The sequence below is a fragment of the Homo sapiens genome, chromosome 1, assembly GCF_000001405.40.
Source record: "Homo sapiens chromosome 1, GRCh38.p14 Primary Assembly".
NCBI classification, from domain to species: domain Eukaryota; kingdom Metazoa; phylum Chordata; class Mammalia; order Primates; family Hominidae; genus Homo; species Homo sapiens.
In genome coordinates, this window is record NC_000001.11 from 228,630,234 (window position 1) to 228,657,583 (window position 27,350).

Genomic DNA, 27,350 nt, shown 5'->3' on the forward strand with positions numbered 1-27,350 from the left:
GCCCAGCTACTCGGGAGGCTGAGGCCGGGGAATGGCGTGAACCCGGGAGGCGGAGCTTGCAGTGAGCCGAGATGGCGCCACTGCACTCCAGCCTGGGCGACAGGGCGAGACTCCGTCTGGAAGAAAAGGAAAGAAACAGCAAAAAGCCAAAGAAAAAGCCTACAGCACCCGGTATTCCCAGGCGGTCTCCCATCCAAGTACTAACCAGGCCCGACCCTGCTTAGCTTCCGAGATCAGACGAGATCGGGCGCGTTCAGGGTGGTATGGCCGTAGACGCTGAAGGAGGCGCCTGGCTGCCCCAAGAGCCCAGCCCGGCCCGGCCGTGCCCGCCGGATTGCAGCCGACACCGCCAGCCCGGGGCCGCGGGGCTCGGATCGGGGACCCCCGAGCCGCTGGCCCGCGGCCTTCCCCCGGCTCCCGCGCTCCCGAGCTTCCACCACATCGGGCCCGCTCGGAGCAGGGAGTGCTCCGAGGCGTCAGGGCCCAGGGCCCACGATCCTGGGACGCCCTCCGGTCCTCCGCCCTGTCGCGGAGGCAGCGTTTTGGATCCCTCGCCGCACAGGGGCTCCTGCGAGGCCCCCTCTTGCCCCACCCACCCAGAGCCGTCAGGGCTGGCCGAAGGCGAACAGCCGGCCCAGCCGCGCGGGGCCTTTCTCTCACAACGCCCCCACCACGGTCGCTTGTCCCGACCAAGACCCGGCCGGGGGGGCAAGAGGGCGTGGGGTGTAGCGGGTCGGGGGGTGGCCCTGTTTTGCCCCGGGCTGGCACTAGAGGCGGCGGCCTGATCTCGGGTGAGAGGGCCTGAGAGAAACCCAGACACACCCCACCGCCACCAGGAGCAAATCCACTCCCCCACACACAGACACACCCGGGCGCGCTCGCACGCGCGCGCGCGGACTCACACACACACACACAGACACACAGACACACACGCACACACGCACGCGCACACGCACGCACACACACACGCGGCTTGAAGGAGAGCAAGGACGAGATGGATGGAGAGATAGAAACCGAGGGAGGGAGAGAGACAGCGATCGAGAGAGACAGGGGAGGGCGAGAGGGAAGGAGACAGACAGAGAGGCTGAGAAAGAGAGAGGCACAGAGAAAGAGAGAGAGAGAGACAGAGAGACAGAGGGAAAACGACAAAAGTAGCGCGAGGTCCAGGGGGAAACCCAGAAGAGAGAGGCGGAGGGAGCTAGAGAGCGAGAGCGATAGAGCCTTAGAGAGGAAGCGCCCGGCTCCGTTAGGCAGCGCCCTCTTGAGCAGGCCGGGATAGGGTGGAGGGGGCTTGGGCTGCGCCCAGAACACGGGGGCCAGGCGGTCCGTGCGAGAGGACCAACGGAGCGCTGAGGCGGGCGTTTTCTTGGATGAATTGCTTGCTTTGGAGGTGGGTTTCGTAGGCTCCTGCCTTTCTTGGCACCTCCCTGTGCTCTGGGTGCCTTGCGGCGGGCCCCGAGATTTGCAGAGCGCGCCCGCCCGTTTGGCGGGAGCCGTGGCACCGGGCGGGCCCGGAGGCCTGGGTCTCTGGCGAGTCCTCGGGACTGGAGTCGTCGACACGAAGCGGGGGGCATTGGGAATCCCGGGTGCACAGGGCCTGTTTTCCCGGTGGCTGGCGAAGCAATGTCCTTCCCCCGGGTAAAGCAGCCCATGCGTTCCGGAGCCGACGTCTTGGCTGGCGTCTGTGGCACCCGCTGCCCCTGCCCGCCCCTTCCCCCGGTTTGGAAGGGTGCGACGACGGCGCCCGATGGGTGAATTGAATCGCCTGGGCGTTCCGGGAGCGGGAAGGCACCGCGAACGGCAGGGAACCCAGCGGCTGCGCCTTTGGGGTCCGGCCCCCTGCCCTCCCAGGCTGGAGCCGGGCTCCTGGCGGGGCGGCGGCGAGGCGGAAGCGGTGGGATGCTGCTGCCGGGCCGGCGTGCAGTAGGGGCGGACCCCCAGCAGGAGGACCCCGGCTGCGGCTGCGGCGGGGGTGTAGGTGGGCGGTAAAGGGGGAGCAGAGTCAGGGGAGGTTGGGTAGCATGGCGACTGTGGGGGGAAGGGAGGCAGCGGGGAAGCCACAAAAGCCTACAGCAGGCCGGGCGGGCGCGGTGGCTCGCGCCTGTAATCCCAGCACTCTGGGAGGCCGAGGCGGGTGGATCACGAGGTCAGGAGCTCCAGACCATCCCGGCTAACAGGGTGAAAGCCCGTCTCTAGGAAAAATAGAACAAAGTAGCCGGGCGTGGTGGCGGGCGCCTGTAGGCCCAGCTACTCGGGAGGCTGAGGCCGGGGAATGGCGTGAACCCGGGAGGCGGAGCTTGCAGTGAGCCGAGATGGCGCCACTGCACTCCAGCCTGGGCGACAGGGCGAGACTCCGTCTGGAAGAAAAGGAAAGAAACAGCAAAAAGCCAAAGAAAAAGCCTACAGCACCCGGTATTCCCAGGCGGTCTCCCATCCAAGTACTAACCAGGCCCGACCCTGCTTAGCTTCCGAGATCAGACGAGATCGGGCGCGTTCAGGGTGGTATGGCCGTAGACGCTGAAGGAGGCGCCTGGCTGCCCCAAGAGCCCAGCCCGGCCCGGCCGTGCCCGCCGGATTGCAGCCGACACCGCCAGCCCGGGGCCGCGGGGCTCGGATCGGGGACCCCCGAGCCGCTGGCCCGCGGCCTTCCCCCGGCTCCCGCGCTCCCGAGCTTCCACCACATCGGGCCCGCTCGGAGCAGGGAGTGCTCCGAGGCGTCAGGGCCCAGGGCCCACGATCCTGGGACGCCCTCCGGTCCTCCGCCCTGTCGCGGAGGCAGCGTTTTGGATCCCTCGCCGCACAGGGGCTCCTGCGAGGCCTCCTCTTGCCCCACCCACCCAGAGCCGTCAGGGCTGGCCGAAGGCGAACAGCCGGCCCAGCCGCGCGGGGCCTTTCTCTCACAACGCCCCCACCACGGTCGCTTGTCCCGACCAAGACCCGGCCGGGGGGGCAAGAGGGCGTGGGGTGTAGCGGGTCGGGGGGTGGCCCTGTTTTGCCCCGGGCTGGCACTAGAGGCGGCGGCCTGATCTCGGGTGAGAGGGCCTGAGAGAAACCCAGACACACCCCACCGCCACCAGGAGCAAATCCACTCCCCCACACACAGACACACCCGGGCGCGCTCGCACGCGCGCGCGCGGACTCACACACACACACACAGACACACAGACACACACGCACACACGCACGCGCACACGCACGCACACACACACGCGGCTTGAAGGAGAGCAAGGACGAGATGGATGGAGAGATAGAAACCGAGGGAGGGAGAGAGACAGCGATCGAGAGAGACAGGGGAGGGCGAGAGGGAAGGAGACAGACAGAGAGGCTGAGAAAGAGAGAGGCACAGAGAAAGAGAGAGAGAGAGACAGAGAGACAGAGGGAAAACGACAGAAGTAGCGCGAGGTCCAGGGGGAAACCCAGAAGAGAGAGGCGGAGGGAGCTAGAGAGCGAGAGCGATAGAGCCTTAGAGAGGAAGTGCCCGGCTCCGTTAGGCAGCGCCCTCTTGAGCAGGCCGGGATAGGGTGGAGGGGGCTTGGGCTGCGCCAGAACACGGGGGCCAGGCGGTCCGTGCGAGAGGACCAACGGAGCGCTGAGGCGGGCGTTTTCTTGGATGAATTGCTTGCTTTGGAGGTGGGTTTCGTAGGCTCCTGCCTTTCTTGGCACCTCCCTGTGCTCTGGGTGCCTTGCGGCGGGCCCCGAGATTTGCAGAGCGCGCCCGCCCGTTTGGCGGGAGCCGTGGCACCGGGCGGGCCCGGAGGCCTGGGTCTCTGGCGAGTCCTCGGGACTGGAGTCGTCGACACGAAGCGGGGGGCATTGGGAATCCCGGGTGCACAGGGCCTGTTTTCCCGGTGGCTGGCGAAGCAATGTCCTTCCCCCGGGTAAAGCAGCCCATGCGTTCCGGAGCCGACGTCTTGGCTGGCGTCTGTGGCACCCGCTGCCCCTGCCCGCCCCTTCCCCCGGTTTGGAAGGGTGCGACGACGGCGCCCGATGGGTGAATTGAATCGCCTGGGCGTTCCGGGAGCGGGAAGGCACCGCGAACGGCAGGGAACCCAGCGGCTGCGCCTTTGGGGTCCGGCCCCCTGCCCTCCCAGGCTGGAGCCGGGCTCCTGGCGGGGCGGCGGCGAGGCGGAAGCGGTGGGATGCTGCTGCCCGGCCGGCGTGCAGTAGGGGCGGACCCCCAGCAGGAGGACCCCGGCTGCGGCTGCGGCGGGGGTGTAGGTGGGCGGTAAAGGGGGAGCAGAGTCAGGGGAGGTTGGGTAGCATGGCGACTGTGGGGGGAAGGGAGGCAGCGGGGAAGCCACAAAAGCCTACAGCAGGCCGGGCGGGCGCGGTGGCTCGCGCCTGTAATCCCAGCACTCTGGGAGGCCGAGGCGGGTGGATCACGAGGTCAGGAGCTCCAGACCATCCCGGCTAACAGGGTGAAAGCCCGTCTCTAGGAAAAATAGAACAAAGTAGCCGGGCGTGGTGGCGGGCGCCTGTAGGCCCAGCTACTCGGGAGGCTGAGGCCGGGGAATGGCGTGAACCCGGGAGGCGGAGCTTGCAGTGAGCCGAGATGGCGCCACTGCACTCCAGCCTGGGCGACAGGGCGAGACTCCGTCTGGAAGAAAAGGAAAGAAACAGCAAAAAGCCAAAGAAAAAGCCTACAGCACCCGGTATTCCCAGGCGGTCTCCCATCCAAGTACTAACCAGGCCCGACCCTGCTTAGCTTCCGAGATCAGACGAGATCGGGCGCGTTCAGGGTGGTATGGCCGTAGACGCTGAAGGAGGCGCCTGGCTGCCCCAAGAGCCCAGCCCGGCCCGGCCGTGCCCGCCGGATTGCAGCCGACACCGCCAGCCCGGGGCCGCGGGGCTCGGATCGGGGACCCCCGAGCCGCTGGCCCGCGGCCTTCCCCCGGCTCCCGCGCTCCCGAGCTTCCACCACATCGGGCCCGCTCGGAGCAGGGAGTGCTCCGAGGCGTCAGGGCCCAGGGCCCACGATCCTGGGACGCCCTCCGGTCCTCCGCCCTGTCGCGGAGGCAGCGTTTTGGATCCCTCGCCGCACAGGGGCTCCTGCGAGGCCCCCTCTTGCCCCACCCACCCAGAGCCGTCAGGGCTGGCCGAAGGCGAACAGCCGGCCCAGCCGCGCCGGGCCTTTCTCTCACAACGCCCCCACCACGGTCGCTTGTCCCGACCAAGACCCGGCCGGGGGGCAAGAGGGCGTGGGGTGTAGCGGGTCGGGGGGTGGCCCTGTTTTGCCCCGGGCTGGCACTAGAGGCGGCGGCCTGATCTCGGGTGAGAGGGCCTGAGAGAAACCCAGACACACCCCACCGCCACCAGGAGCAAATCCACTCCCCCACACACAGACACACCCGGGCGCGCTCGCACGCGCGCGCGCGGACACACACACACACAGACACACACGCACACACGCACGCGCACACGCACGCACACACACGCGGCTTGAAGGAGAGCAAGGACGAGATGGATGGAGAGATAGAAACCGAGGGAGGGAGAGAGACAGCGATCGAGAGAGACAGGGGAGGGCGAGAGGGAAGGAGACAGACAGAGAGGCTGAGAAAGAGAGAGGCACAGAGAAAGAGAGAGAGAGAGACAGAGAGACAGAGGGAAAACGACAGAAGTAGCGCGAGGTCCAGGGGGAAACCCAGAAGAGAGAGGCGGAGGGAGCTAGAGAGCGAGAGCGATAGAGCCTTAGAGAGGAAGTGCCCGGCTCCGTTAGGCAGCGCCCTCTTGAGCAGGCCGGGATAGGGTGGAGGGGGCTTGGGCTGCGCCAGAACACGGGGGCCAGGCGGTCCGTGCGAGAGGACCAACGGAGCGCTGAGGCGGGCGTTTTCTTGGATGAATTGCTTGCTTTGGAGGTGGGTTTCGTAGGCTCCTGCCTTTCTTGGCACCTCCCTGTGCTCTGGGTGCCTTGCGGCGGGCCCCGAGATTTGCAGAGCGCGCCCGCCCGTTTGGCGGGAGCCGTGGCACCGGGCGGGCCCGGAGGCCTGGGTCTCTGGCGAGTCCTCGGGACTGGAGTCGTCGACACGAAGCGGGGGGCATTGGGAATCCCGGGTGCACAGGGCCTGTTTTCCCGGTGGCTGGCGAAGCAATGTCCTTCCCCCGGGTAAAGCAGCCCATGCGTTCTGGAGCCGACGTCTTGGCTGGCGTCTGTGGCACCCGCTGCCCCTGCCCGCCCCTTCCCCCGGTTTGGAAGGGTGCGACGACGGCGCCCGATGGGTGAATTGAATCACCTGGGCGTTCCGGGAGCGGGAAGGCACCGCGAACGGCAGGGAACCCAGCGGCTGCGCCTTTGGGGTCCGGCCCCCTGCCCTCCCAGGCTGGAGCCGGGCTCCTGGCGGGGCGGCGGCGAGGCGGAAGCGGTGGGATGCTGCTGCCCGGCCGGCGTGCAGTAGGGGCGGACCCCCAGCAGGAGGACCCCGGCTGCGGCTGCGGCGGGGGTGTAGGTGGGCGGTAAAGGGGGAGCAGAGTCAGGGGAGGTTGGGTAGCATGGCGACTGTGGGGGGAAGGGAGGCAGCCGGGAAGCCACAAAAGCCTACAGCAGGCCGGGCGGGCGCGGTGGCTCGCGCCTGTAATCCCAGCACTCTGGGAGGCCGAGGCGGGTGGATCACGAGGTCAGGAGCTCCAGACCATCCCGGCTAACAGGGTGAAAGCCCGTCTCTAGGAAAAATAGAACAAAGTAGCCGGGCGTGGTGGCGGGCGCCTGTAGGCCCAGCTACTCGGGAGGCTGAGGCCGGGGAATGGCGTGAACCCGGGAGGCGGAGCTTGCAGTGAGCCGAGATGGCGCCACTGCACTCCAGCCTGGGCGACAGGGCGAGACTCCGTCTGGAAGAAAAGGAAAGAAACAGCAAAAAGCCAAAGAAAAAGCCTACAGCACCCGGTATTCCCAGGCGGTCTCCCATCCAAGTACTAACCAGGCCCGACCCTGCTTAGCTTCCGAGATCAGACGAGATCGGGCGCGTTCAGGGTGGTATGGCCGTAGACGCTGAAGGAGGCGCCTGGCTGCCCCAAGAGCCCAGCCCGGCCCGGCCGTGCCCGCCGGATTGCAGCCGACACCGCCAGCCCGGGGCCGCGGGGCTCGGATCGGGGACCCCCGAGCCGCTGGCCCGCGGCCTTCCCCCGGCTCCCGCGCTCCCGAGCTTCCACCACATCGGGCCCGCTCGGAGCAGGGAGTGCTCCGAGGCGTCAGGGCCCAGGGCCCACGATCCTGGGACGCCCTCCGGTCCTCCGCCCTGTCGCGGAGGCAGCGTTTTGGATCCCTCGCCGCACAGGGGCTCCTGCGAGGCCCCCTCTTGCCCCACCCACCCAGAGCCGTCAGGGCTGGCCGAAGGCGAACAGCCGGCCCAGCCGCGCGGGGCCTTTCTCTCACAACGCCCCCACCACGGTCGCTTGTCCCGACCAAGACCCGGCCGGGGGGGCAAGAGGGCGTGGGGTGTAGCGGGTCGGGGGGTGGCCCTGTTTTGCCCCGGGCTGGCACTAGAGGCGGCGGCCTGATCTCGGTTGAGAGGGCCTGAGAGAAACCCAGACACACCCCACCGCCACCAGGAGCAAATCCACTCCCCCACACACAGACACACCCGGGCGCGCTCGCACGCGCGCGCGCGGACTCACACACACACACACAGACACACAGACACACACGCACACACGCACGCGCACACGCACGCACACACACACGCGGCTTGAAGGAGAGCAAGGACGAGATGGATGGAGAGATAGAAACCGAGGGAGGGAGAGAGACAGCGATCGAGAGAGACAGGGGAGGGCGAGAGGGAAGGAGACAGACAGAGAGGCTGAGAAAGAGAGAGGCACAGAGAAAGAGAGAGAGAGAGACAGAGAGACAGAGGGAAAACGACAAAAGTAGCGCGAGGTCCAGGGGGAAACCCAGAAGAGAGAGGCGGAGGGAGCTAGAGAGCGAGAGCGATAGAGCCTTAGAGAGGAAGCGCCCGGCTCCGTTAGGCAGCGCCCTCTTGAGCAGGCCGGGATAGGGTGGAGGGGGCTTGGGCTGCGCCCAGAACACGGGGGCCAGGCGGTCCGTGCGAGAGGACCAACGGAGCGCTGAGGCGGGCGTTTTCTTGGATGAATTGCTTGCTTTGGAGGTGGGTTTCGTAGGCTCCTGCCTTTCTTGGCACCTCCCTGTGCTCTGGGTGCCTTGCGGCGGGCCCCGAGATTTGCAGAGCGCGCCCGCCCGTTTGGCGGGAGCCGTGGCACCGGGCGGGCCCGGAGGCCTGGGTCTCTGGCGAGTCCTCGGGACTGGAGTCGTCGACACGAAGCGGGGGGCATTGGGAATCCCGGGTGCACAGGGCCTGTTTTCCCGGTGGCTGGCGAAGCAATGTCCTTCCCCCGGGTAAAGCAGCCCATGCGTTCCGGAGCCGACGTCTTGGCTGGCGTCTGTGGCACCCGCTGCCCCTGCCCGCCCCTTCCCCCGGTTTGGAAGGGTGCGACGACGGCGCCCGATGGGTGAATTGAATCGCCTGGGCGTTCCGGGAGCGGGAAGGCACCGCGAACGGCAGGGAACCCAGCGGCTGCGCCTTTGGGGTCCGGCCCCCTGCCCTCCCAGGCTGGAGCCGGGCTCCTGGCGGGGCGGCGGCGAGGCGGAAGCGGTGGGATGCTGCTGCCCGGCCGGCGTGCAGTAGGGGCGGACCCCCAGCAGGAGGACCCCGGCTGCGGCTGCGGCGGGGGTGTAGGTGGGCGGTAAAGGGGGAGCAGAGTCAGGGGAGGTTGGGTAGCATGGCGACTGTGGGGGGAAGGGAGGCAGCCGGGAAGCCACAAAAGCCTACAGCAGGCCGGGCGGGCGCGGTGGCTCGCGCCTGTAATCCCAGCACTCTGGGAGGCCGAGGCGGGTGGATCACGAGGTCAGGAGCTCCAGACCATCCCGGCTAACAGGGTGAAAGCCCGTCTCTAGGAAAAATAGAACAAAGTAGCCGGGCGTGGTGGCGGGCGCCTGTAGGCCCAGCTACTCGGGAGGCTGAGGCCGGGGAATGGCGTGAACCCGGGAGGCGGAGCTTGCAGTGAGCCGAGATGGCGCCACTGCACTCCAGCCTGGGCGACAGGGCGAGACTCCGTCTGGAAGAAAAGGAAAGAAACAGCAAAAAGCCAAAGAAAAAGCCTACAGCACCCGGTATTCCCAGGCGGTCTCCCATCCAAGTACTAACCAGGCCCGACCCTGCTTAGCTTCCGAGATCAGACGAGATCGGGCGCGTTCAGGGTGGTATGGCCGTAGACGCTGAAGGAGGCGCCTGGCTGCCCCAAGAGCCCAGCCCGGCCCGGCCGTGCCCGCCGGATTGCAGCCGACACCGCCAGCCCGGGGCCGCGGGGCTCGGATCGGGGACCCCCGAGCCGCTGGCCCGCGGCCTTCCCCCGGCTCCCGCGCTCCCGAGCTTCCACCACATCGGGCCCGCTCGGAGCAGGGAGTGCTCCGAGGCGTCAGGGCCCAGGGCCCACGATCCTGGGACGCCCTCCGGTCCTCCGCCCTGTCGCGGAGGCAGCGTTTTGGATCCCTCGCCGCACAGGGGCTCCTGCGAGGGCTCCTCTTGCCCCACCCACCCAGAGCCGTCAGGGCTGGCCGAAGGCGAACAGCCGGCCCAGCCGCGCGGGGCCTTTCTCTCACAACGCCCCCACCACGGTCGCTTGTCCCGACCAAGACCCGGCCGGGGGGGCAAGAGGGCGTGGGGTGTAGCGGGTCGGGGGGTGGCCCTGTTTTGCCCCGGGCTGGCACTAGAGGCGGCGGCCTGATCTCGGGTGAGAGGGCCTGAGAGAAACCCAGACACACCCCACCGCCACCAGGAGCAAATCCACTCCCCCACACACAGACACACCCGGGCGCGCTCGCACCCGCGCGCGCGGACACACACACACACACAGACACACACGCACACACGCACGCGCACACGCACGCACACACACACGCGGCTTGAAGGAGAGCAAGGACGAGATGGATGGAGAGATAGAAACCGAGGGAGGGAGAGAGACAGCGATCGAGAGAGACAGGGGAGGGCGAGAGGGAAGGAGACAGACAGAGAGGCTGAGAAAGAGAGAGGCACAGAGAAAGAGAGAGAGAGAGACAGAGAGACAGAGGGAAAACGACAAAAGTAGCGCGAGGTCCAGGGGGAAACCCAGAAGAGAGAGGCGGAGGGAGCTAGAGAGCGAGAGCGATAGAGCCTTAGAGAGGAAGCGCCCGGCTCCGTTAGGCAGCGCCCTCTTGAGCAGGCCGGGATAGGGTGGAGGGGGCTTGGGCTGCGCCCAGAACACGGGGGCCAGGCGGTCCGTGCGAGAGGACCAACGGAGCGCTGAGGCGGGCGTTTTCTTGGATGAATTGCTTGCTTTGGAGGTGGGTTTCGTAGGCTCCTGCCTTTCTTGGCACCTCCCTGTGCTCTGGGTGCCTTGCGGCGGGCCCCGAGATTTGCAGAGCGCGCCCGCCCGTTTGGCGGGAGCCGTGGCACCGGGCGGGCCCGGAGGCCTGGGTCTCTGGCGAGTCCTCGGGACTGGAGTCGTCGACACGAAGCGGGGGGCATTGGGAATCCCGGGTGCACAGGGCCTGTTTTCCCGGTGGCTGGCGAAGCAATGTCCTTCCCCCGGGTAAAGCAGCCCATGCGTTCCGGAGCCGACGTCTTGGCTGGCGTCTGTGGCACCCGCTGCCCCTGCCCGCCCCTTCCCCCGGTTTGGAAGGGTGCGACGACGGCGCCCGATGGGTGAATTGAATCGCCTGGGCGTTCCGGGAGCGGGAAGGCACCGCGAACGGCAGGGAACCCAGCGGCTGCGCCTTTGGGGTCCGGCCCCCTGCCCTCCCAGGCTGGAGCCGGGCTCCTGGCGGGGCGGCGGCGAGGCGGAAGCGGTGGGATGCTGCTGCCCGGCCGGCGTGCAGTAGGGGCGGACCCCCAGCAGGAGGACCCCGGCTGCGGCTGCGGCGGGGGTGTAGGTGGGCGGTAAAGGGGGAGCAGAGTCAGGGGAGGTTGGGTAGCATGGCGACTGTGGGGGGAAGGGAGGCAGCGGGGAAGCCACAAAAGCCTACAGCAGGCCGGGCGGGCGCGGTGGCTCGCGCCTGTAATCCCAGCACTCTGGGAGGCCGAGGCGGGTGGATCACGAGGTCAGGAGCTCCAGACCATCCCGGCTAACAGGGTGAAAGCCCGTCTCTAGGAAAAATAGAACAAAGTAGCCGGGCGTGGTGGCGGGCGCCTGTAGGCCCAGCTACTCGGGAGGCTGAGGCCGGGGAATGGCGTGAACCTGGGAGGCGGAGCTTGCAGTGAGCCGAGATGGCGCCACTGCACTCCAGCCTGGGCGACAGGGCGAGACTCCGTCTGGAAGAAAAGGAAAGAAACAGCAAAAAGCCAAAGAAAAAGCCTACAGCACCCGGTATTCCCAGGCGGTCTCCCATCCAAGTACTAACCAGGCCCGACCCTGCTTAGCTTCCGAGATCAGACGAGATCGGGCGCGTTCAGGGTGGTATGGCCGTAGACGCTGAAGGAGGCGCCTGGCTGCCCCAAGAGCCCGGCCCGGCCCGGCCGTGCCCGCCGGATTGCAGCCGACACCGCCAGCCCGGGGCCGCGGGGCTCGGATCGGGGACCCCCGAGCCGCTGGCCCGCGGCCTTCCCCCGGCTCCCGCGCTCCCGAGCTTCCACCACATCGGGCCCGCTCGGAGCAGGGAGTGCTCCGAGGCGTCAGGGCCCAGGGCCCACGATCCTGGGACGCCCTCCGGTCCTCCGCCCTGTCGCGGAGGCAGCGTTTTGGATCCCTCGCCGCACAGGGGCTCCTGCGAGGCCCCCTCTTGCCCCACCCACCCAGAGCCGTCAGGGCTGGCCGAAGGCGAACAGCCGGCCCAGCCGCGCGGGGCCTTTCTCTCACAACGCCCCCACCACGGTCGCTTGTCCCGACCAAGACCCGGCCGGGGGGGCAAGAGGGCGTGGGGTGTAGCGGGTCGGGGGGTGGCCCTGTTTTGCCCCGGGCTGGCACTAGAGGCGGCGGCCTGATCTCGGGTGAGAGGGCCTGAGAGAAGCCCAGACACACCCCACCGCCACCAGGAGCAAATCCACTCCCCCACACACAGACACACCCGGGCGCGCTCGCACGCGCGCGCGCGGACTCACACACACACACACAGACACACAGACACACACGCACACACGCACGCGCACACGCACGCACACACACACGCGGCTTGAAGGAGAGCAAGGACGAGATGGATGGAGAGATAGAAACCGAGGGAGGGAGAGAGACAGCGATCGAGAGAGACAGGGGAGGGCGAGAGGGAAGGAGACAGACAGAGAGGCTGAGAAAGAGAGAGGCACAGAGAAAGAGAGAGAGAGAGACAGAGAGACAGAGGGAAAACGACAAAAGTAGCGCGAGGTCCAGGGGGAAACCCAGAAGAGAGAGGCGGAGGGAGCTAGAGAGCGAGAGCGATAGAGCCTTAGAGAGGAAGCGCCCGGCTCCGTTAGGCAGCGCCCTCTTGAGCAGGCCGGGATAGGGTGGAGGGGGCTTGGGCTGCGCCCAGAACACGGGGTCCAGGCGGTCCGTGCGAGAGGACCAACGGAGCGCTGAGGCGGGCGTTTTCTTGGATGAATTGCTTGCTTTGGAGGTGGGTTTCGTAGGCTCCTGCCTTTCTTGGCACCTCCCTGTGCTCTGGGTGCCTTGCGGCGGGCCCCGAGATTTGCAGAGCGCGCCCGCCCGTTTGGCGGGAGCCGTGGCACCGGGCGGGCCCGGAGGCCTGGGTCTCTGGCGAGTCCTCGGGACTGGAGTCGTCGACACGAAGCGGGGGGCATTGGGAATCCCGGGTGCACAGGGCCTGTTTTCCCGGTGGCTGGCGAAGCAATGTCCTTCCCCCGGGTAAAGCAGCCCATGCGTTCCGGAGCCGACGTCTTGGCTGGCGTCTGTGGCACCCGCTGCCCCTGCCCGCCCCTTCCCCCGGTTTGGAAGGGTGCGACGACGGCGCCCGATGGGTGAATTGAATCGCCTGGGCGTTCCGGGAGCGGGAAGGCACCGCGAACGGCAGGGAACCCAGCGGCTGCGCCTTTGGGGTCCGGCCCCCTGCCCTCCCAGGCTGGAGCCGGGCTCCTGGCGGGGCGGCGGCGAGGCGGAAGCGGTGGGATGCTGCTGCCCGGCCGGCGTGCAGTAGGGGCGGACCCCCAGCAGGAGGACCCCGGCTGCGGCTGCGGCGGGGGTGTAGGTGGGCGGTAAAGGGGGAGCAGAGTCAGGGGAGGTTGGGTAGCATGGCGACTGTGGGGGGAAGGGAGGCAGCGGGGAAGCCACAAAAGCCTACAGCAGGCCGGGCGGGCGCGGTGGCTCGCGCCTGTAATCCCAGCACTCTGGGAGGCCGAGGCGGGTGGATCACGAGGTCAGGAGCTCCAGACCATCCCGGCTAACAGGGTGAAAGCCCGTCTCTAGGAAAAATAGAACAAAGTAGCCGGGCGTGGTGGCGGGCGCCTGTAGGCCCAGCTACTCGGGAGGCTGAGGCCGGGGAATGGCGTGAACCTGGGAGGCGGAGCTTGCAGTGAGCCGAGATGGCGCCACTGCACTCCAGCCTGGGCGACAGGGCGAGACTCCGTCTGGAAGAAAAGGAAAGAAACAGCAAAAAGCCAAAGAAAAAGCCTACAGCACCCGGTATTCCCAGGCGGTCTCCCATCCAAGTACTAACCAGGCCCGACCCTGCTTAGCTTCCGAGATCAGACGAGATCGGGCGCGTTCAGGGTGGTATGGCCGTAGACGCTGAAGGAGGCGCCTGGCTGCCCCAAGAGCCCGGCCCGGCCCGGCCGTGCCCGCCGGATTGCAGCCGACACCGCCAGCCCGGGGCCGCGGGGCTCGGATCGGGGACCCCCGAGCCGCTGGCCCGCGGCCTTCCCCCGGCTCCCGCGCTCCCGAGCTTCCACCACATCGGGCCCGCTCGGAGCAGGGAGTGCTCCGAGGCGTCAGGGCCCAGGGCCCACGATCCTGGGACGCCCTCCGGTCCTCCGCCCTGTCGCGGAGGCAGCGTTTTGGATCCCTCGCCGCACAGGGGCTCCTGCGAGGCCCCCTCTTGCCCCACCCACCCAGAGCCGTCAGGGCTGGCCGAAGGCGAACAGCCGGCCCAGCCGCGCGGGGCCTTTCTCTCACAACGCCCCCACCACGGTCGCTTGTCCCGACCAAGACCCGGCCGGGGGGGCAAGAGGGCGTGGGGTGTAGCGGGTCGGGGGGTGGCCCTGTTTTGCCCCGGGCTGGCACTAGAGGCGGCGGCCTGATCTCGGGTGAGAGGGCCTGAGAGAAACCCAGACACACCCCACCGCCACCAGGAGCAAATCCACTCCCCCACACACAGACACACCCGGGCGCGCTCGCACCCGCGCGCGCGGACACACACACACACACAGACACACACGCACACACGCACGCGCACACGCACGCACACACACACGCGGCTTGAAGGAGAGCAAGGACGAGATGGATGGAGAGATAGAAACCGAGGGAGGGAGAGAGACAGCGATCGAGAGAGACAGGGGAGGGCGAGAGGGAAGGAGACAGACAGAGAGGCTGAGAAAGAGAGAGGCACAGAGAAAGAGAGAGAGAGAGACAGAGAGACAGAGGGAAAACGACAAAAGTAGCGCGAGGTCCAGGGGGAAACCCAGAAGAGAGAGGCGGAGGGAGCTAGAGAGCGAGAGCGATAGAGCCTTAGAGAGGAAGCGCCCGGCTCCGTTAGGCAGCGCCCTCTTGAGCAGGCCGGGATAGGGTGGAGGGGGCTTGGGCTGCGCCCAGAACACGGGGGCCAGGCGGTCCGTGCGAGAGGACCAACGGAGCGCTGAGGCGGGCGTTTTCTTGGATGAATTGCTTGCTTTGGAGGTGGGTTTCGTAGGCTCCTGCCTTTCTTGGCACCTCCCTGTGCTCTGGGTGCCTTGCGGCGGGCCCCGAGATTTGCAGAGCGCGCCCGCCCGTTTGGCGGGAGCCGTGGCACCGGGCGGGCCCGGAGGCCTGGGTCTCTGGCGAGTCCTCGGGACTGGAGTCGTCGACACGAAGCGGGGGGCATTGGGAATCCCGGGTGCACAGGGCCTGTTTTCCCGGTGGCTGGCGAAGCAATGTCCTTCCCCCGGGTAAAGCAGCCCATGCGTTCCGGAGCCGACGTCTTGGCTGGCGTCTGTGGCACCCGCTGCCCCTGCCCGCCCCTTCCCCCGGTTTGGAAGGGTGCGACGACGGCGCCCGATGGGTGAATTGAATCGCCTGGGCGTTCCGGGAGCGGGAAGGCACCGCGAACGGCAGGGAACCCAGCGGCTGCGCCTTTGGGGTCCGGCCCCCTGCCCTCCCAGGCTGGAGCCGGGCTCCTGGCGGGGCGGCGGCGAGGCGGAAGCGGTGGGATGCTGCTGCCGGGCCGGCGTGCAGTAGGGGCGGACCCCCAGCAGGAGGACCCCGGCTGCGGCTGCGGCGGGGGTGTAGGTGGGCGGTAAAGGGGGAGCAGAGTCAGGGGAGGTTGGGAAGCATGGCGACTGTGGGGGGAAGGGAGGCAGCGGGGAAGCCACAAAAGCCTACAGCAGGCCGGGCGGGCGCGGTGGCTCGCGCCTGTAATCCCAGCACTCTGGGAGGCCGAGGCGGGTGGATCACGAGGTCAGGAGCTCCAGACCATCCCGGCTAACAGGGTGAAAGCCCGTCTCTAGGAAAAATAGAACAAAGTAGCCGGGCGTGGTGGCGGGCGCCTGTAGGCCCAGCTACTCGGGAGGCTGAGGCCGGGGAATGGCGTGAACCCGGGAGGCGGAGCTTGCAGTGAGCCGAGATGGCGCCACTGCACTCCAGCCTGGGCGACAGGGCGAGACTCCGTCTGGAAGAAAAGGAAAGAAACAGCAAAAAGCCAAAGAAAAAGCCTACAGCACCCGGTATTCCCAGGCGGTCTCCCATCCAAGTACTAACCAGGCCCGACCCTGCTTAGCTTCCGAGATCAGACGAGATCGGGCGCGTTCAGGGTGGTATGGCCGTAGACGCTGAAGGAGGCGCCTGGCTGCCCCAAGAGCCCAGCCCGGCCCGGCCGTGCCCGCCGGATTGCAGCCGACACCGCCAGCCCGGGGCCGCGGGGCTCGGATCGGGGACCCCCGAGCCGCTGGCCCGCGGCCTTCCCCCGGCTCCCGCGCTCCCGAGCTTCCACCACATCGGGCCCGCTCGGAGCAGGGAGTGCTCCGAGGCGTCAGGGCCCAGGGCCCACGATCCTGGGACGCCCTCCGGTCCTCCGCCCTGTCGCGGAGGCAGCGTTTTGGATCCCTCGCCGCACAGGGGCTCCTGCGAGGCCCCCTCTTGCCCCACCCACCCAGAGCCGTCAGGGCTGGCCGAAGGCGAACAGCCGGCCCAGCCGCGCGGGGCCTTTCTCTCACAACGCCCCCACCACGGTCGCTTGTCCCGACCAAGACCCGGCCGGGGGGGCAAGAGGGCGTGGGGTGTAGCGGGTCGGGGGGTGGCCCTGTTTTGCCCCGGGCTGGCACTAGAGGCGGCGGCCTGATCTCGGGTGAGAGGGCCTGAGAGAAACCCAGACACACCCCACCGCCACCAGGAGCAAATCCACTCCCCCACACACAGACACACCCGTTCGTTCTCGTTCCGGAACCCGCACGCGAGCACGGGTGCGCAGACGCACGCACACACACACACGGTGAAACACAGACACACACGGCTTGAAGGAGAGCAAGGAGAAGATGGATGGAGAGATAGAAACCGAGGGAGGGAGAGAGACAGCGATCGAGAGAGACCGGAGAGGTGGAGAGGTAAAGAGAGAGAGGCTAAGAGGGACAGAGAAAGGGAGAAGTACAGAGGTACAGAGGGAAGGCTAGAGAAATAACGCGAGGTCCAGGGGGAAACCCAGAAGAGTGAGGAGGAGGGAGCTAGAGAGCGAGAACGTTTGAGCCTTAGAGAGGAAGCACCCTACTTCGGTAGGCAGCCCCCTTTTGAGCAGTCCGGAATAGGGTGGAGGGGTTTGAGCTGTGCCTGAGCAGGGCGGCCAGGCGGCCCGTGCGAGAGGACCAACGGAGCGCTGAGACGGGTTTTTTCTTGGATGAATTGCTTGCTTTGGAGGTGGGTTTCGTAGGCTCCATTCTTTCTTGGCACCTCACTGTGCTCTTGGTACCTCACTGTGCTCTTGGTGCGGTGCAGTGGGCCCCGAGATTTGCAGAGTGCGCCCGCCCTTTTGGCGGGAGCCGTGGTACCGGGCGCGTCCGGAGGCCTGGGTCTCTGGCGTGTCCTCGGTACTGGAGTTGACACGAAGTGCGGGGCAATAGGAATCCGGGTGCACAGGGACTGTTTTCCTGGTGGTTGGCGAAGCAATGTCCTTCCTCCCGGGTAAAGCAGTCCATGCGTTCTGGAGCGGAGATCTTGGCTGGCGTCTGTGGTACCCGCTGCCCCTGCCCGCCCCTTCCCCCGGTTTATAAGGTTGCGACTGCGCCGGATGAGTGAATTGAATTGCCTGGTGGATCCGGGAGCGGGAAGGCACCGCGAACGGCAGGGAATCCTGGCCTGCACCTTAGTGATCTGAGGCGTGGTGTTTCTGCTGGATCCGGTTTCATCGTGTTGCGCCGCCCATCCTGAATAGTTGTGATGTTGTTGCCTGGCTGTGCTGCAGGTTAGCCCACACTAAGCGGTCCCGGGCTGTTGTGTGGGCTTGGGCGTGTGAAAAGAGGGAGCAGATTTACGGTGCGGTTGAGAAGTACGGCGACCAAACGGTAAAGAGGGAGGAACTTGAAGTCTAAACAAGCCTGCGTCTCCTGGTTTTCTCAAGTGGCGTTTCATCTAAGTAGCGGTCTGGCCCAGACCCTGCTTATCTTCACGAGATCAGAGGAGACCGGACGCCTTCGGGGTGGTATGGCCTTAGACGCCGGTAGTGCAGCCTGTCTGCCCCAAAGGCGCGGCTCAGCCACGCCCGTCCGACTCCATGCGCCACCTCTAATCCAGTGCCATGGGGATCTTATCGGGACCCGGGAGCCGCTCGCCGGAGGTCTGGCTGGGTTGCTCTCCGTGTCTACGCCCAAGCACCGTTGCCCGCCGCCTTGCGCCTTCTGTTGGCCTCTTAGAGCCTTCCGTGATTGCTTGCGCCTAGGCCACTCGCTGGACCTCCGCGGCGCCACCCTGTTTCCTCGCGGGAGTGCCAGAGGCCTTTTCCCCTGCCCAAGCTCTGGGATCTCCGGGCAGCCTCCATTCCGCCGACTCTCCAGGCCTTCCCCGGCTCCGGAGCTCCAGAGCTTCCATGACTTTGGGCCGCTCCGGACTTGGTGTGCTCTGAGGTGTCAACGCCCAGGGCCCACAGTCCTGGGATCTTCTCTGGTCTTTTGCCTTGCGGCGGGGGGATTGTTTTGGATCCCTTGCTGCCCCTCTTGCAAGACCCTCTCTTGCTTCACCCACCCAGAGCCGTTTCTTTAAAATTTCAACCATGTTCTGAACTGCAGCTTTACAGTTGAATATTTTCTTTCAGAATAATTTGATTCTGAACTCGGTTTTTCTTGACATACCTGAATTGTTTCATGTGAGCCGGCAATTTCACATGCTTTTACTTTTTCTTTTTTTTAAAATTTTTATTTTTGAGACAGAGTCACATTATAATCTATTACTTCTACTAGAGATCTGTTTCTTCCTATTTAATGAATTATTGCTTTTCATATAGTCTGAAATTTGTTTTTTCTCTCTTTCTTTCTCTTCCTCTCTCTCTTTCTTTCTTTCTTTCTTTCTTTCTGACGGATTCTCGCTCTGTTGGCCAGGCTGGAGTGCAGTGTTCGATCTCGGCTCACCGCAACCTCCTCTTCTGGGTTAAAGCCATTCTCTCGCCTCAGCCTCCCGAGTACCTTGTACTAAAGGCGCGCACCAACCTCGCCTGGCTAGTTTTTGTATTTTTAGCAGTGACATGGTTTCTGCACGTTGGCCAGTCCTGTCTCAAACTCCAGACCTCGGGTGATCTGCCTGCCTCGGCCTCTTAAAATACTAGGTTTACAGGTGTGAGCCACTGTGCCCACCAGCTTTTACTTTTTCTAAAAGCCATGTATTACCCTGTTCAAGGTACTAGAGTACCTGTTTACATTCCTCTATAATATGGCAAACATTACTAATTTTGGGCACACACTCTTCCTTTGTCTTATTGAATTCAAGTACCTTTTCGTCAGGTTTGACTTCCAGGTTCTCTAAATGTGCTTTCTGGAGGCTGAAGCAATCATATTGCTGGAGATATTTCTTTACCTTTTTGATAACTGGTCTAAGAAACAAAGATTTTACATTTTATCAGGATAATTATCTGTGGTTCCTGTTGCTTGTTTTTATTAGGTTTTTGATTACTTGACAAAACAGCGCTTAAAAGGGTTAAGGGTTTTTAAAAAAATTCATGTAACTGTCTGTATTTCATTTTGAAGTATTTTGATTATCATCCTGGTTAAATAAATGACTATTAATTCACAGTGACATTTGATGCTGTTTTGATAAAGTGTTTTTAACCTTTTGATATTTTGGCAAGCTTTCCCGGGATCACATCCTAAATTGTCTTTTCTTTTTTTATCTTGAATTAACTTGATGTTCCAGAGGGCCCTGAAACTTTTCAAATGTTTATAAAAGAGACATATTAAACTAAATCAGGCTCATTTGAAGATGATAAACTGTATGAAAAACATTGTCAAATAAGTTACACTAGATCTTCTTTCAGTTATATTTTATGGGTGTGTTATTGATATGAATGTTCCAAAATTGTGTAAAACTCCTAGAAATCTAAGACGTCATCAGTTGTAATTCTGCTTATGTTGTTTGACACAAAATAACCAGTTTCTTGTCAATTTCTGGTTATAATAAACTTTCATCAGATTTTTAACCATAATTATTCTATTCTAAGTTTTTGTTATCCACAGTTATTGTTTTGACTTTTCTCTAAAGGCATCTGCAATCAGATTCATAGAAAGAACTCTAACAGGTACTCTTGAATACAGATTTCTAATAACTTTAAGATCAATGGAAAGCAGAGCTGCACTGCGGTTAGGGCCTAGTTCCATCAGCGGCTGCAGCCCCATGGGTCGCCCATGGGGACCCTGGCCTTGGGCACCTGTGGAGTACGTGGCGCTGGGTCGCTGGGTCGCTGGCGCCAGTGTGCAAGATGCTCCGCAAGGAGGCAGCGGCGGGCTGGATGGTGCTTGGCTGCCGGCCCTACCTGGCCTTTACCGCCTTGAGCGTGCCTGGCTCACTCAACATCAACCTCTATTCACTGGTGTGCGCCAGCCCGGGGCGGCTGTGGGGTCAGCGTGCTACTTGCTGCCAGATGCCTCGGAGCACGCTGCTGCTGCAGGAGGGCAGCATCCTGGTGGCCGTGATGGTGCTGAACTAGGGGAGCTGCCACGGGCAGAAGCTGTGCGAGGAGAGTGCCCGGCGGGTTGTCCTCACCTCACTGCTCGCCTGCCTGCCCTCCTGCTGGCGGGTCTACTTCCTCAAAGGGGGATATGAGACCTTCTTCCAGGGTTGCATGGATGTAAAACTCGTTTCACTCGTTTCAAAGTGAGAGAGCTCTCATCAGCCAGTGTGGAAAGCTAGTAGTGCTAAACATCAACTACAGGCCAGCTTATGATCAGGGTGGTCCAGTTGAAATCCTTTCCTCCCTCTACCTTGGAGGTGCCTACCATGCATCCAAGTGCAAGTTCCTCATCAAGCTATACATCACAGCCCAGCTGAATGTCCCCTTGTGGACCTGGCTGTGAGGCCTGCAAGACCCACCTACATACGAATGGATCCTTGTGGAAGAAGGCCACATGGCTGACATTAGCTCTCACTTTCAAGAAGCAATAGACTTCATTGACTGTGTCAGAGAAAAGAAAGGCAAGGTCCTGGTCCACTGTGAAGCTGGGTTCTCCTGTTCACCCACCATCTGCATGGCTTCCCTCATAAAGACCAAGCACTTCTGCCTGAAGGAGGCCTTCAATTATGTCAAGTGGAAGAGGAGCATGATCTCACCCAGCTTTGGCTTCATGGGCCAGCTCCTGCGGTAGGAATTTGAAATCCTCCCTTCCACACCCAATCCCTAGCTTCCCTCCTACCAGGGGGAGGCAGCAGGCTCTTCATTGATAAGCCATTTGCAGACATTTAGCCCTGACTTGAAGGGTGTCTACTGCACATTCCCTGCCTCAGTGCTGGCTCCAGTGCCCACCCACTGGACAGTCTCAGAGCTCAGCAGGAGCCCTGTGGCCACAGCCACATTCTGCTAAAACTGGGATAGAGGAACAAGCCCAGCCCCAAGAGCAGCTATGACTTTTGTTTTTAAGAATGGACATTTCACATCTGTGCAATACTGAAGACCTCACTTTGTCATGTTGCCCCAGTGACATAGTGAGAGGTCACCAGGCTTGCAAATGAACTTCACACAGACCTCAGGGTAGGTTCTCAGGATTGAAGGAAGGCCAAGCAATTACAGGAGCACAGCACGTGCTGACTACTGTACTTCCAGACCCCCTGCCCTCAAGGGACTGCCCAGTCCTTGCACCTCAAAGTTCGCCTTTTCATTTCAAGCATAAGGCAATAAATACCTGCAGCAACATGGGAGAAAGAAGTTGCTGGACCAACAGAAATGGCACTTATGAAGCCAATTCATTTTGAAGGAAGCACAATTTCCACCTTATTTTTCAAACTTTGGCAGTCTCAATGTCTGTCTCCGTTGCTTCAGGAAATAAGCTGATCACCATCTAGTCAGGAAAGTAACCCTACAGGGTTTGTGGAGACATGATATATATGCCAATTTGAACCCTGAAATGTTTTTTACATACCCTCTTGGGTCCAATGGAGGCAGTTGGTTGAAGTAGCAAGATGTTGGCCTTTCTGGGTTTCTCTTTTGCTGTGGCTTCCTCACTGACCTTGGACTTTTATAAGTATGATACAAATCTACACTTGAATAAGTATGACTGTTACTCATACTTGAACTTATCTCATTGCACCTCTTCTCAGCAGCTCTTCATTTGAGAAAATATTTTTTCAGATCATAGACTAAAAAATCATACCATCAAGGTGGCGGCACCAGGTGCCAGGAGGAAAAGGGTACTTGCTGTGTATCCTGGGTCAGTAATATTGAAAACTGTCTTCTTCAGCTTCCTGTCCTTCTATGTGTTGTGTCTCTTGTGACAGTTGTTTTGTCTTCAAGCCACTGACTTCTGGAATTTGCAGATTTTGCAATCCATGCAAATGTGAAGAAAAGCTCTATGTTACTGACCATTGTTGTTGTTGTTTATAGTGCAAAATAAAAATAGCAAAAAGGAAAAAAGATCAATGGAGGCCTTTTGGTGCTTACCACAGACTGTGCTCTTTCACTGACTGAATAGAGAGAGGAGGCAGAGTAAACCTATCCTATATACACCTCAGTCCAAGCCTGGTCTGTATTATGAATGGGGCAACATGGAAAAAGAAAATAAAATCAGCAGACCACATAAACATTTCCAGAACTTTCTTTTTTAAAAAAAATTTTATATTTCTCTTTTATCAACTACGAAGTGCTTGGGAAAAAAGATGTCCATAACTTCTAATGAAGAAACTGATGAATTCATGAAATTGCTAATAAGATTTAGCAAAACAAAAAATTAATTACATGAGATTGAATAACTAATAATGTTTTCATGACTTTTATTTAAAATACTGATGGCTCTTTACTTATATGTTTTGTTTCCCAAATTTAAGAAAATATTTTCGCTTATGCTATCTAAAGTTTTCAGCAATTTGATAAAGCATACATTTATGAACAAAAGTGAAAGCATTTATTTTTTTCTTCCTACTAAGTACCTCCAAAATTTGGAAATGACTTCATGAGTATACTTATTTTTAATGGAAATGTAATTATTTCCATAAGTTCAATAAGAATCACCTCTATAGCAAGATACAATTGGAAATATTGGTTACATTGCCATGACTTTGGAATGTCATATTTAAGGGGTTTATAGATACTGTAAACAAAGTCTAAAGTCTGTCTTGATTTGGCTACCTAGCCTCAAGGGTTTGTTGTTGTTATTTTTGAGACAAGGTCTCCCTCTGTCACCCAGGCTGGAGTGCGTGGCACGATCGTGGCTCACTGTAACCTCTGCCCCCTGGGAGGGGGAATCCAGTGATTCTCATGCCTCAGCCTTATGAATAGCTGGGAGTCAGGCTGGTGCCATCATGTCGGACTAATTTTTGTATTTTTTTTTGACGGAGTTTTGCTCTTGTTGTCCAGGCTGGAGTGCAGTGGTGCCATCTCGGCTCACTGCAACCTCCGCCTCCCATGTTCAAGTGATTCTCCTGCCTCAGCCTTCCAAGTGGCTGGGATTACAGGCATGCTCCACCATGCCCAGCTAATTTTGTATTTTTAGTAGAGATGGGGTTTCTCCATGTTGGTCTGGCTGGTCTCGAACTCCCAACCTCAGGTGATCCACCCACTTCGGCCTCCCAAAGTGCTGAGATTACAGGCATGAGCCACTGCGCCCAGCCTTAATTTTTGTATTTTTAGTAGAGATGGGGTTTCACCATTTTAGCCAGGCTGGTCTCGAACTCCTGGCCTCAAGCAATCCTCCCACCTTGGTCTCCCAAAGTGCTGGAATTACAGGTGTGAGCCACTGTGACCAGCCTCAAGAGGTTTTTAAATCTGAAATTACAATGTAGCCAGTTGTTATTCTTGATATGCTTATGCAAATGATTAGGCGAAATTTGATAAAATTGAACTAATTCTGCAAAACATTTTGTCTTTCTCTGATGATCTTTGGTAGAAATTGGGAAGACTGTGAAGAGAAAAGTTATGTTTCCAAAGAACAGCTGTAATACACCTGTTGCTAGAATATAGCCCTGTGCATTGTTTTTGAGTTTTTATTATTTGCCTGTAGAATGAACTGCATCCTAAATTTTTCTAGGTTCCCCCAATCCAGCTTTCTTCCATGTAAGTACCAAGAATTGCTGTGTTCCTGAAGCCCTGTAAGTTGAAACTAGCTGATTTTTTTTTTTTTGAGTCAGAGTCTTGCTCTGTCACTCAGGCTGGAGTACAGTGGCCCAATCAGCTTACTGAAGCCTTGAACTCCTGGGTTCAAGTGATTCTCTTGCCTCCACTTCCTAAGTACCTGGAAACTACAGGCACACATCACCATGACCAGGTAATTTTTAATTTTTTTATAGATGATGTGTCTCTTTGTTGCCCAGGCTGGTCTCAAACTTCTGACTTCAAGCCATACTCCAACCTCAGCCTCCCAAAGTGTTGGGATTACAGCTGTGAACCACAATATCCAGCATAAATGGATTTTATAAGACAAGTCTCATAGTTGATGTATGGGCCATACAGAAAGTTCACTGACCACCTGATGCCATAATCAGAGACATTAAAACTGCAAACCAGAACAAGAAGTTGATTGGCTTCATGATGTGGGCAGCTTTTCCCAAGATAATAGAACAAGACTCCCCATCACCGTGAGAATCTTGCTTCTTTTAATTTTTCCTTGTTTATGCCTACCTCTTTTACTTGGCATGATAATGACATAATTGAAATTTCACGATTGTAGCTACTGTGGGTAACTCGACAGAACCTGATCTAAGAAATCCTTTAGTGCACCTAGTGGGTAACTTTGGCAACATCCCCAACACAGGTTTTTGTTCATATTGTACTATTGGTCTTTTTTCTTTTTTTAGATAGCATTCTTGGCTTTAATTCAACCCAGTCATGGGATACCAGATGATAAAATTGCTCCATATTAGTTTTTGGTTAAATAAGAAAATGCCTGTGTTATTGCTAATTCTATGTGCTGTACCTGAACAATTTTTCTGGAGAAGTTGAGACCCAAATACACAAAATAAAAAAACAGTCCACATGGTTATAACAGACCTCACCTAGTTCCCTATAATGATTTGATTTATTCAGTTGATTGCATTTAATCCTAGGTTCATGGCTCAAAATCATTATGTAAACTGGGGTTATCATATTACTATTAACCTTGCTTTTTTTTTTTTTTTGGAGATGAAGTCTTGCTCTGTCACCCAGGCTGGAGTGCAGTGGCGCGATCTTGGCTCACTGCAACCTCCGCCTCATGAGTTCAAGCAATTCTCTGCCTCAGCCTCCCGAGTAGCTGGGATTACAGGTACCCACCACCATACCCAGCTAATTTTTGTATTTTTAGTAGAGACGGGGTTTCACCATCTTGGCCAGGCTGGTCTTGAACTCCTGACCTCAAGATCCACCCACCTAGGCCTCCCAAAGTGCTGGGATTACAGGCATAAGCCACTGCACCTGGCCTAACCTTGCTTTGTATTTTATTTTTAAAAAACTTTGTGCCCATGGCTTAACAAATTTATGCAAAAGTGCAACTCCTAAGAAAATAATTCTGGCCCAGAACTTTGGATGATAGCAAAGGCCTATGGAACAGACAAAATTGGGCTTAACAATGGACTCCAGGTAGACTTAGCCTGAGAGCCACTCCCTCTAAACCTCTCTTGTTGCTCAAATGTGGCAAAAAAGGGTTTTGCTAGTCGCGATTCATTTCCCTTGAACACAGGGCTAGACCAGACTAACAGCTCAGGACAGGTACATCTCAGCACTGAGGGACAATCAGAATCTAACTACAGTACGATTGGTTAGTGATGCTTTCAAAGAACAATCTTGATCAAAAAGGGGAAATGTAAAAGTTGTCAGAAACAAAATGAAGTCACTGTGTTAAAACCTTGACAAATGGAGCTGGGGAAGGCCACAAAGAGAGGGTTCTCATACAAGTATGCCTAATGATAAAAACTATCACACGAAAGACTCTGCAAAAACTACAAACTTGCACAAAGACCACAGCCTTACATAAAAAAATACTGTGAAGACATCTGTCCAGCAACTGCCTGACAATCTTGGACTGGGGCCACCTGTGCTATTGATCTTTGTAGCCAATGATAATGATTTCAAAACAATTATGTAATTCTCCTCATTTTTCCTTAAAAAACTCCTGTCTTCTTTTACCTCCCTGAATATGCCTTCCATATTCACTTTGCAATGCTTAGTCTCAAATAAATATCTTTTTTTTTGTTGTTTTGTTTGGCTCTGTTGCCTAGGCTGAAGTGCAGTGGCACAATCATGGCTCATTGCAGCCTTGACCTCCTGGCCTCAAGCAGTCCTTTCCCCACAGCCTCCTGAGTAGCCGGGACTACAGGCATGTGCCACCACACCTGGCTAATTTCATTTTCTTTTAGATTACTTCTCTATCTGTTATTTAGCTTTACACTTCGGTTTGTAACTCCACTTTTTGTTTTCTTTCTTTTTAAAAATTACGCTTTTCCCAAAAATACCATTCACTTTTTGTTTTCTACATGTTTTAAGAGACTAGTGCATAAGAAACAATTTAGTCTATGTTTTTGGACCCATAATACATAAACATGTAATTGTTTGACATCAGTAACTGAAAGGGGGGATGGAGCTTTAAAAAAAAAGAGTTTTTACATGTTACTGAAGTTAAATTGGTATAAATTCAAATTTGAGTGTTAAAACTTTAAGATCCTAAATGCAATTCCTATGGGAACCACAAAAAGTAGCTATAGAATATATACAAAAGGAAATGAGAAAGGAATTAAAATTATTCACTACAAAAATAATCAAATACAACAGAAGATGGTAATGCAGAAAATGAGGGGAAAAACTATAATGCATATAAAAAAAGGTAGCAAAATGACAGAAGTAAGTTCTTCCTTATCAGTAATTATTTCAAATATAATTAGATTAAGCTCTTCAGTCAAAAGATGGAGATTGGCAGAATAGACAAAAACATGAAACCCGATTCTATGCTGTCTACAAGAGAGAAATTTTAGATTAAAAACCACGAATAGGATGAAAGTGAAGAAATAGAAAAAAGAGGCTGGGAGTGGTGGCTCACGCCTGTAATCCCAGCACTTTGGGAAGCCGAGGCAGGTGGATCACCTGAGGTCAGGAGTTCAAGACCAGCCTGGCCAACATGATGAAACCCTGTCTCTACTAAAAATACAAAAAATTAGCTGGGCGTGGTGGTAGGTGCCTGTAATCCCAGCTCCTGGGGAGGCTGAGGCAGGAGAATCGCTTCAACCCAGGAGGTGGAGGTTGCAGTGAGCCGAGATCACACCATTGCACTCCAGCCTGGGCAACGAGAGCAAAAAACTCCATCTCAAAAAAAAAAAAAAAAAAAAAAAGGAAAAAGAAAAAGAATAAAAAAAAAAGAAAAAAGATATTCCATGCAAATAGTGACCAAAAGAGAACAGTAGTGGCTGTACTAATATCAGACAAAACAGACTTCAAAATCAAATAGGTTTACATAAGACAAAGAAGGGCATATATATTAATAAAAGGTTTAAAATAACAAGATAATGTAACAATTGTAAACATTTACGCACCTAGTAACAGACCATTAAAATATATGACGCAAAACCTGATAGACTGAAGGGAGAAACAGACAGTTCTACAAAAGACAAAT

The 27,350-nt window shown here is 58.5% G+C and overlaps 1 protein-coding gene, 8 non-coding genes and 3 pseudogenes across 10 annotated transcripts in view, besides 1 other annotated feature; 3 read left to right on the forward strand and 9 right to left on the reverse strand.

The window, feature by feature from the left end:
* Positions 1-154: 154 nt before the first annotated feature.
* On the reverse strand, positions 155-275 carry RNA5S10 (RNA, 5S ribosomal 10). Its single transcript, NR_023372.1, has one exon. It is a non-coding gene; the product is annotated as an RNA, 5S ribosomal 10 (ribosomal RNA).
* A 2,120-nt stretch (positions 276-2,395) lies between these two features.
* RNA5S11 (RNA, 5S ribosomal 11) lies at positions 2,396-2,516 on the reverse strand. The gene has a single exon (NR_023373.1). It is a non-coding gene; the product is annotated as an RNA, 5S ribosomal 11 (ribosomal RNA).
* A 2,119-nt stretch (positions 2,517-4,635) lies between these two features.
* Positions 4,636-4,756, reverse strand: RNA5S12 (RNA, 5S ribosomal 12). Its single transcript, NR_023374.1, has one exon. It is a non-coding gene; the product is annotated as an RNA, 5S ribosomal 12 (ribosomal RNA).
* Positions 6,613-7,418: an enhancer, noted in NCBI's record as "H3K27ac-H3K4me1 hESC enhancer chr1:228772593-228773398 (GRCh37/hg19 assembly coordinates)". NCBI's record gives its function as "activates a minimal SCP1, AML or CMV promoter by ChIP-STARR-seq in naive H9 embryonic stem cells {active_cell/tissue: H9 hESC(naive)}" and the evidence as "EXISTENCE:reporter gene assay evidence [ECO:0000049][PMID:30033119]".
* RNA5S13 (RNA, 5S ribosomal 13) lies at positions 6,861-6,981 on the reverse strand. The gene has a single exon (NR_023375.1). It is a non-coding gene; the product is annotated as an RNA, 5S ribosomal 13 (ribosomal RNA).
* RNA5S14 (RNA, 5S ribosomal 14) lies at positions 9,102-9,222 on the reverse strand. Its single transcript, NR_023376.1, has one exon. It is a non-coding gene; the product is annotated as an RNA, 5S ribosomal 14 (ribosomal RNA).
* A 2,110-nt stretch (positions 9,223-11,332) lies between these two features.
* RNA5S15 (RNA, 5S ribosomal 15) lies at positions 11,333-11,453 on the reverse strand. Its single transcript, NR_023377.1, has one exon. It is a non-coding gene; the product is annotated as an RNA, 5S ribosomal 15 (ribosomal RNA).
* Positions 11,454-13,573: 2,120 nt separating this feature from the next.
* Positions 13,574-13,694, reverse strand: RNA5S16 (RNA, 5S ribosomal 16). Its single transcript, NR_023378.1, has one exon. It is a non-coding gene; the product is annotated as an RNA, 5S ribosomal 16 (ribosomal RNA).
* Positions 13,695-14,413: 719 nt separating this feature from the next.
* The window catches only part of RHOU (ras homolog family member U), a 102,023-nt gene continuing 89,086 nt past the window's right edge, over positions 14,414-27,350 (forward strand). Inside the window, exon 1 of the transcript NR_037962.1 lies at positions 14,414-14,799. The gene's annotated coding sequence lies outside the window, so the exon portion shown is untranslated. The remainder of the gene's footprint in view (positions 14,800-27,350) is intronic.
* DUSP5P1 (dual specificity phosphatase 5 pseudogene 1) lies at positions 14,677-22,192 on the forward strand (annotated as a pseudogene). The gene is made up of 2 exons (NR_002834.2): positions 14,677-14,799; positions 19,831-22,192. The product of NR_002834.2 is annotated as a dual specificity phosphatase 5 pseudogene 1 (transcript).
* Positions 15,805-15,925, reverse strand: RNA5S17 (RNA, 5S ribosomal 17). The gene has a single exon (NR_023379.1). It is a non-coding gene; the product is annotated as an RNA, 5S ribosomal 17 (ribosomal RNA).
* Positions 17,679-17,799, reverse strand: RNA5SP18 (RNA, 5S ribosomal pseudogene 18; annotated as a pseudogene).
* LOC124900442 (uncharacterized) lies at positions 22,203-22,327 on the forward strand (annotated as a pseudogene).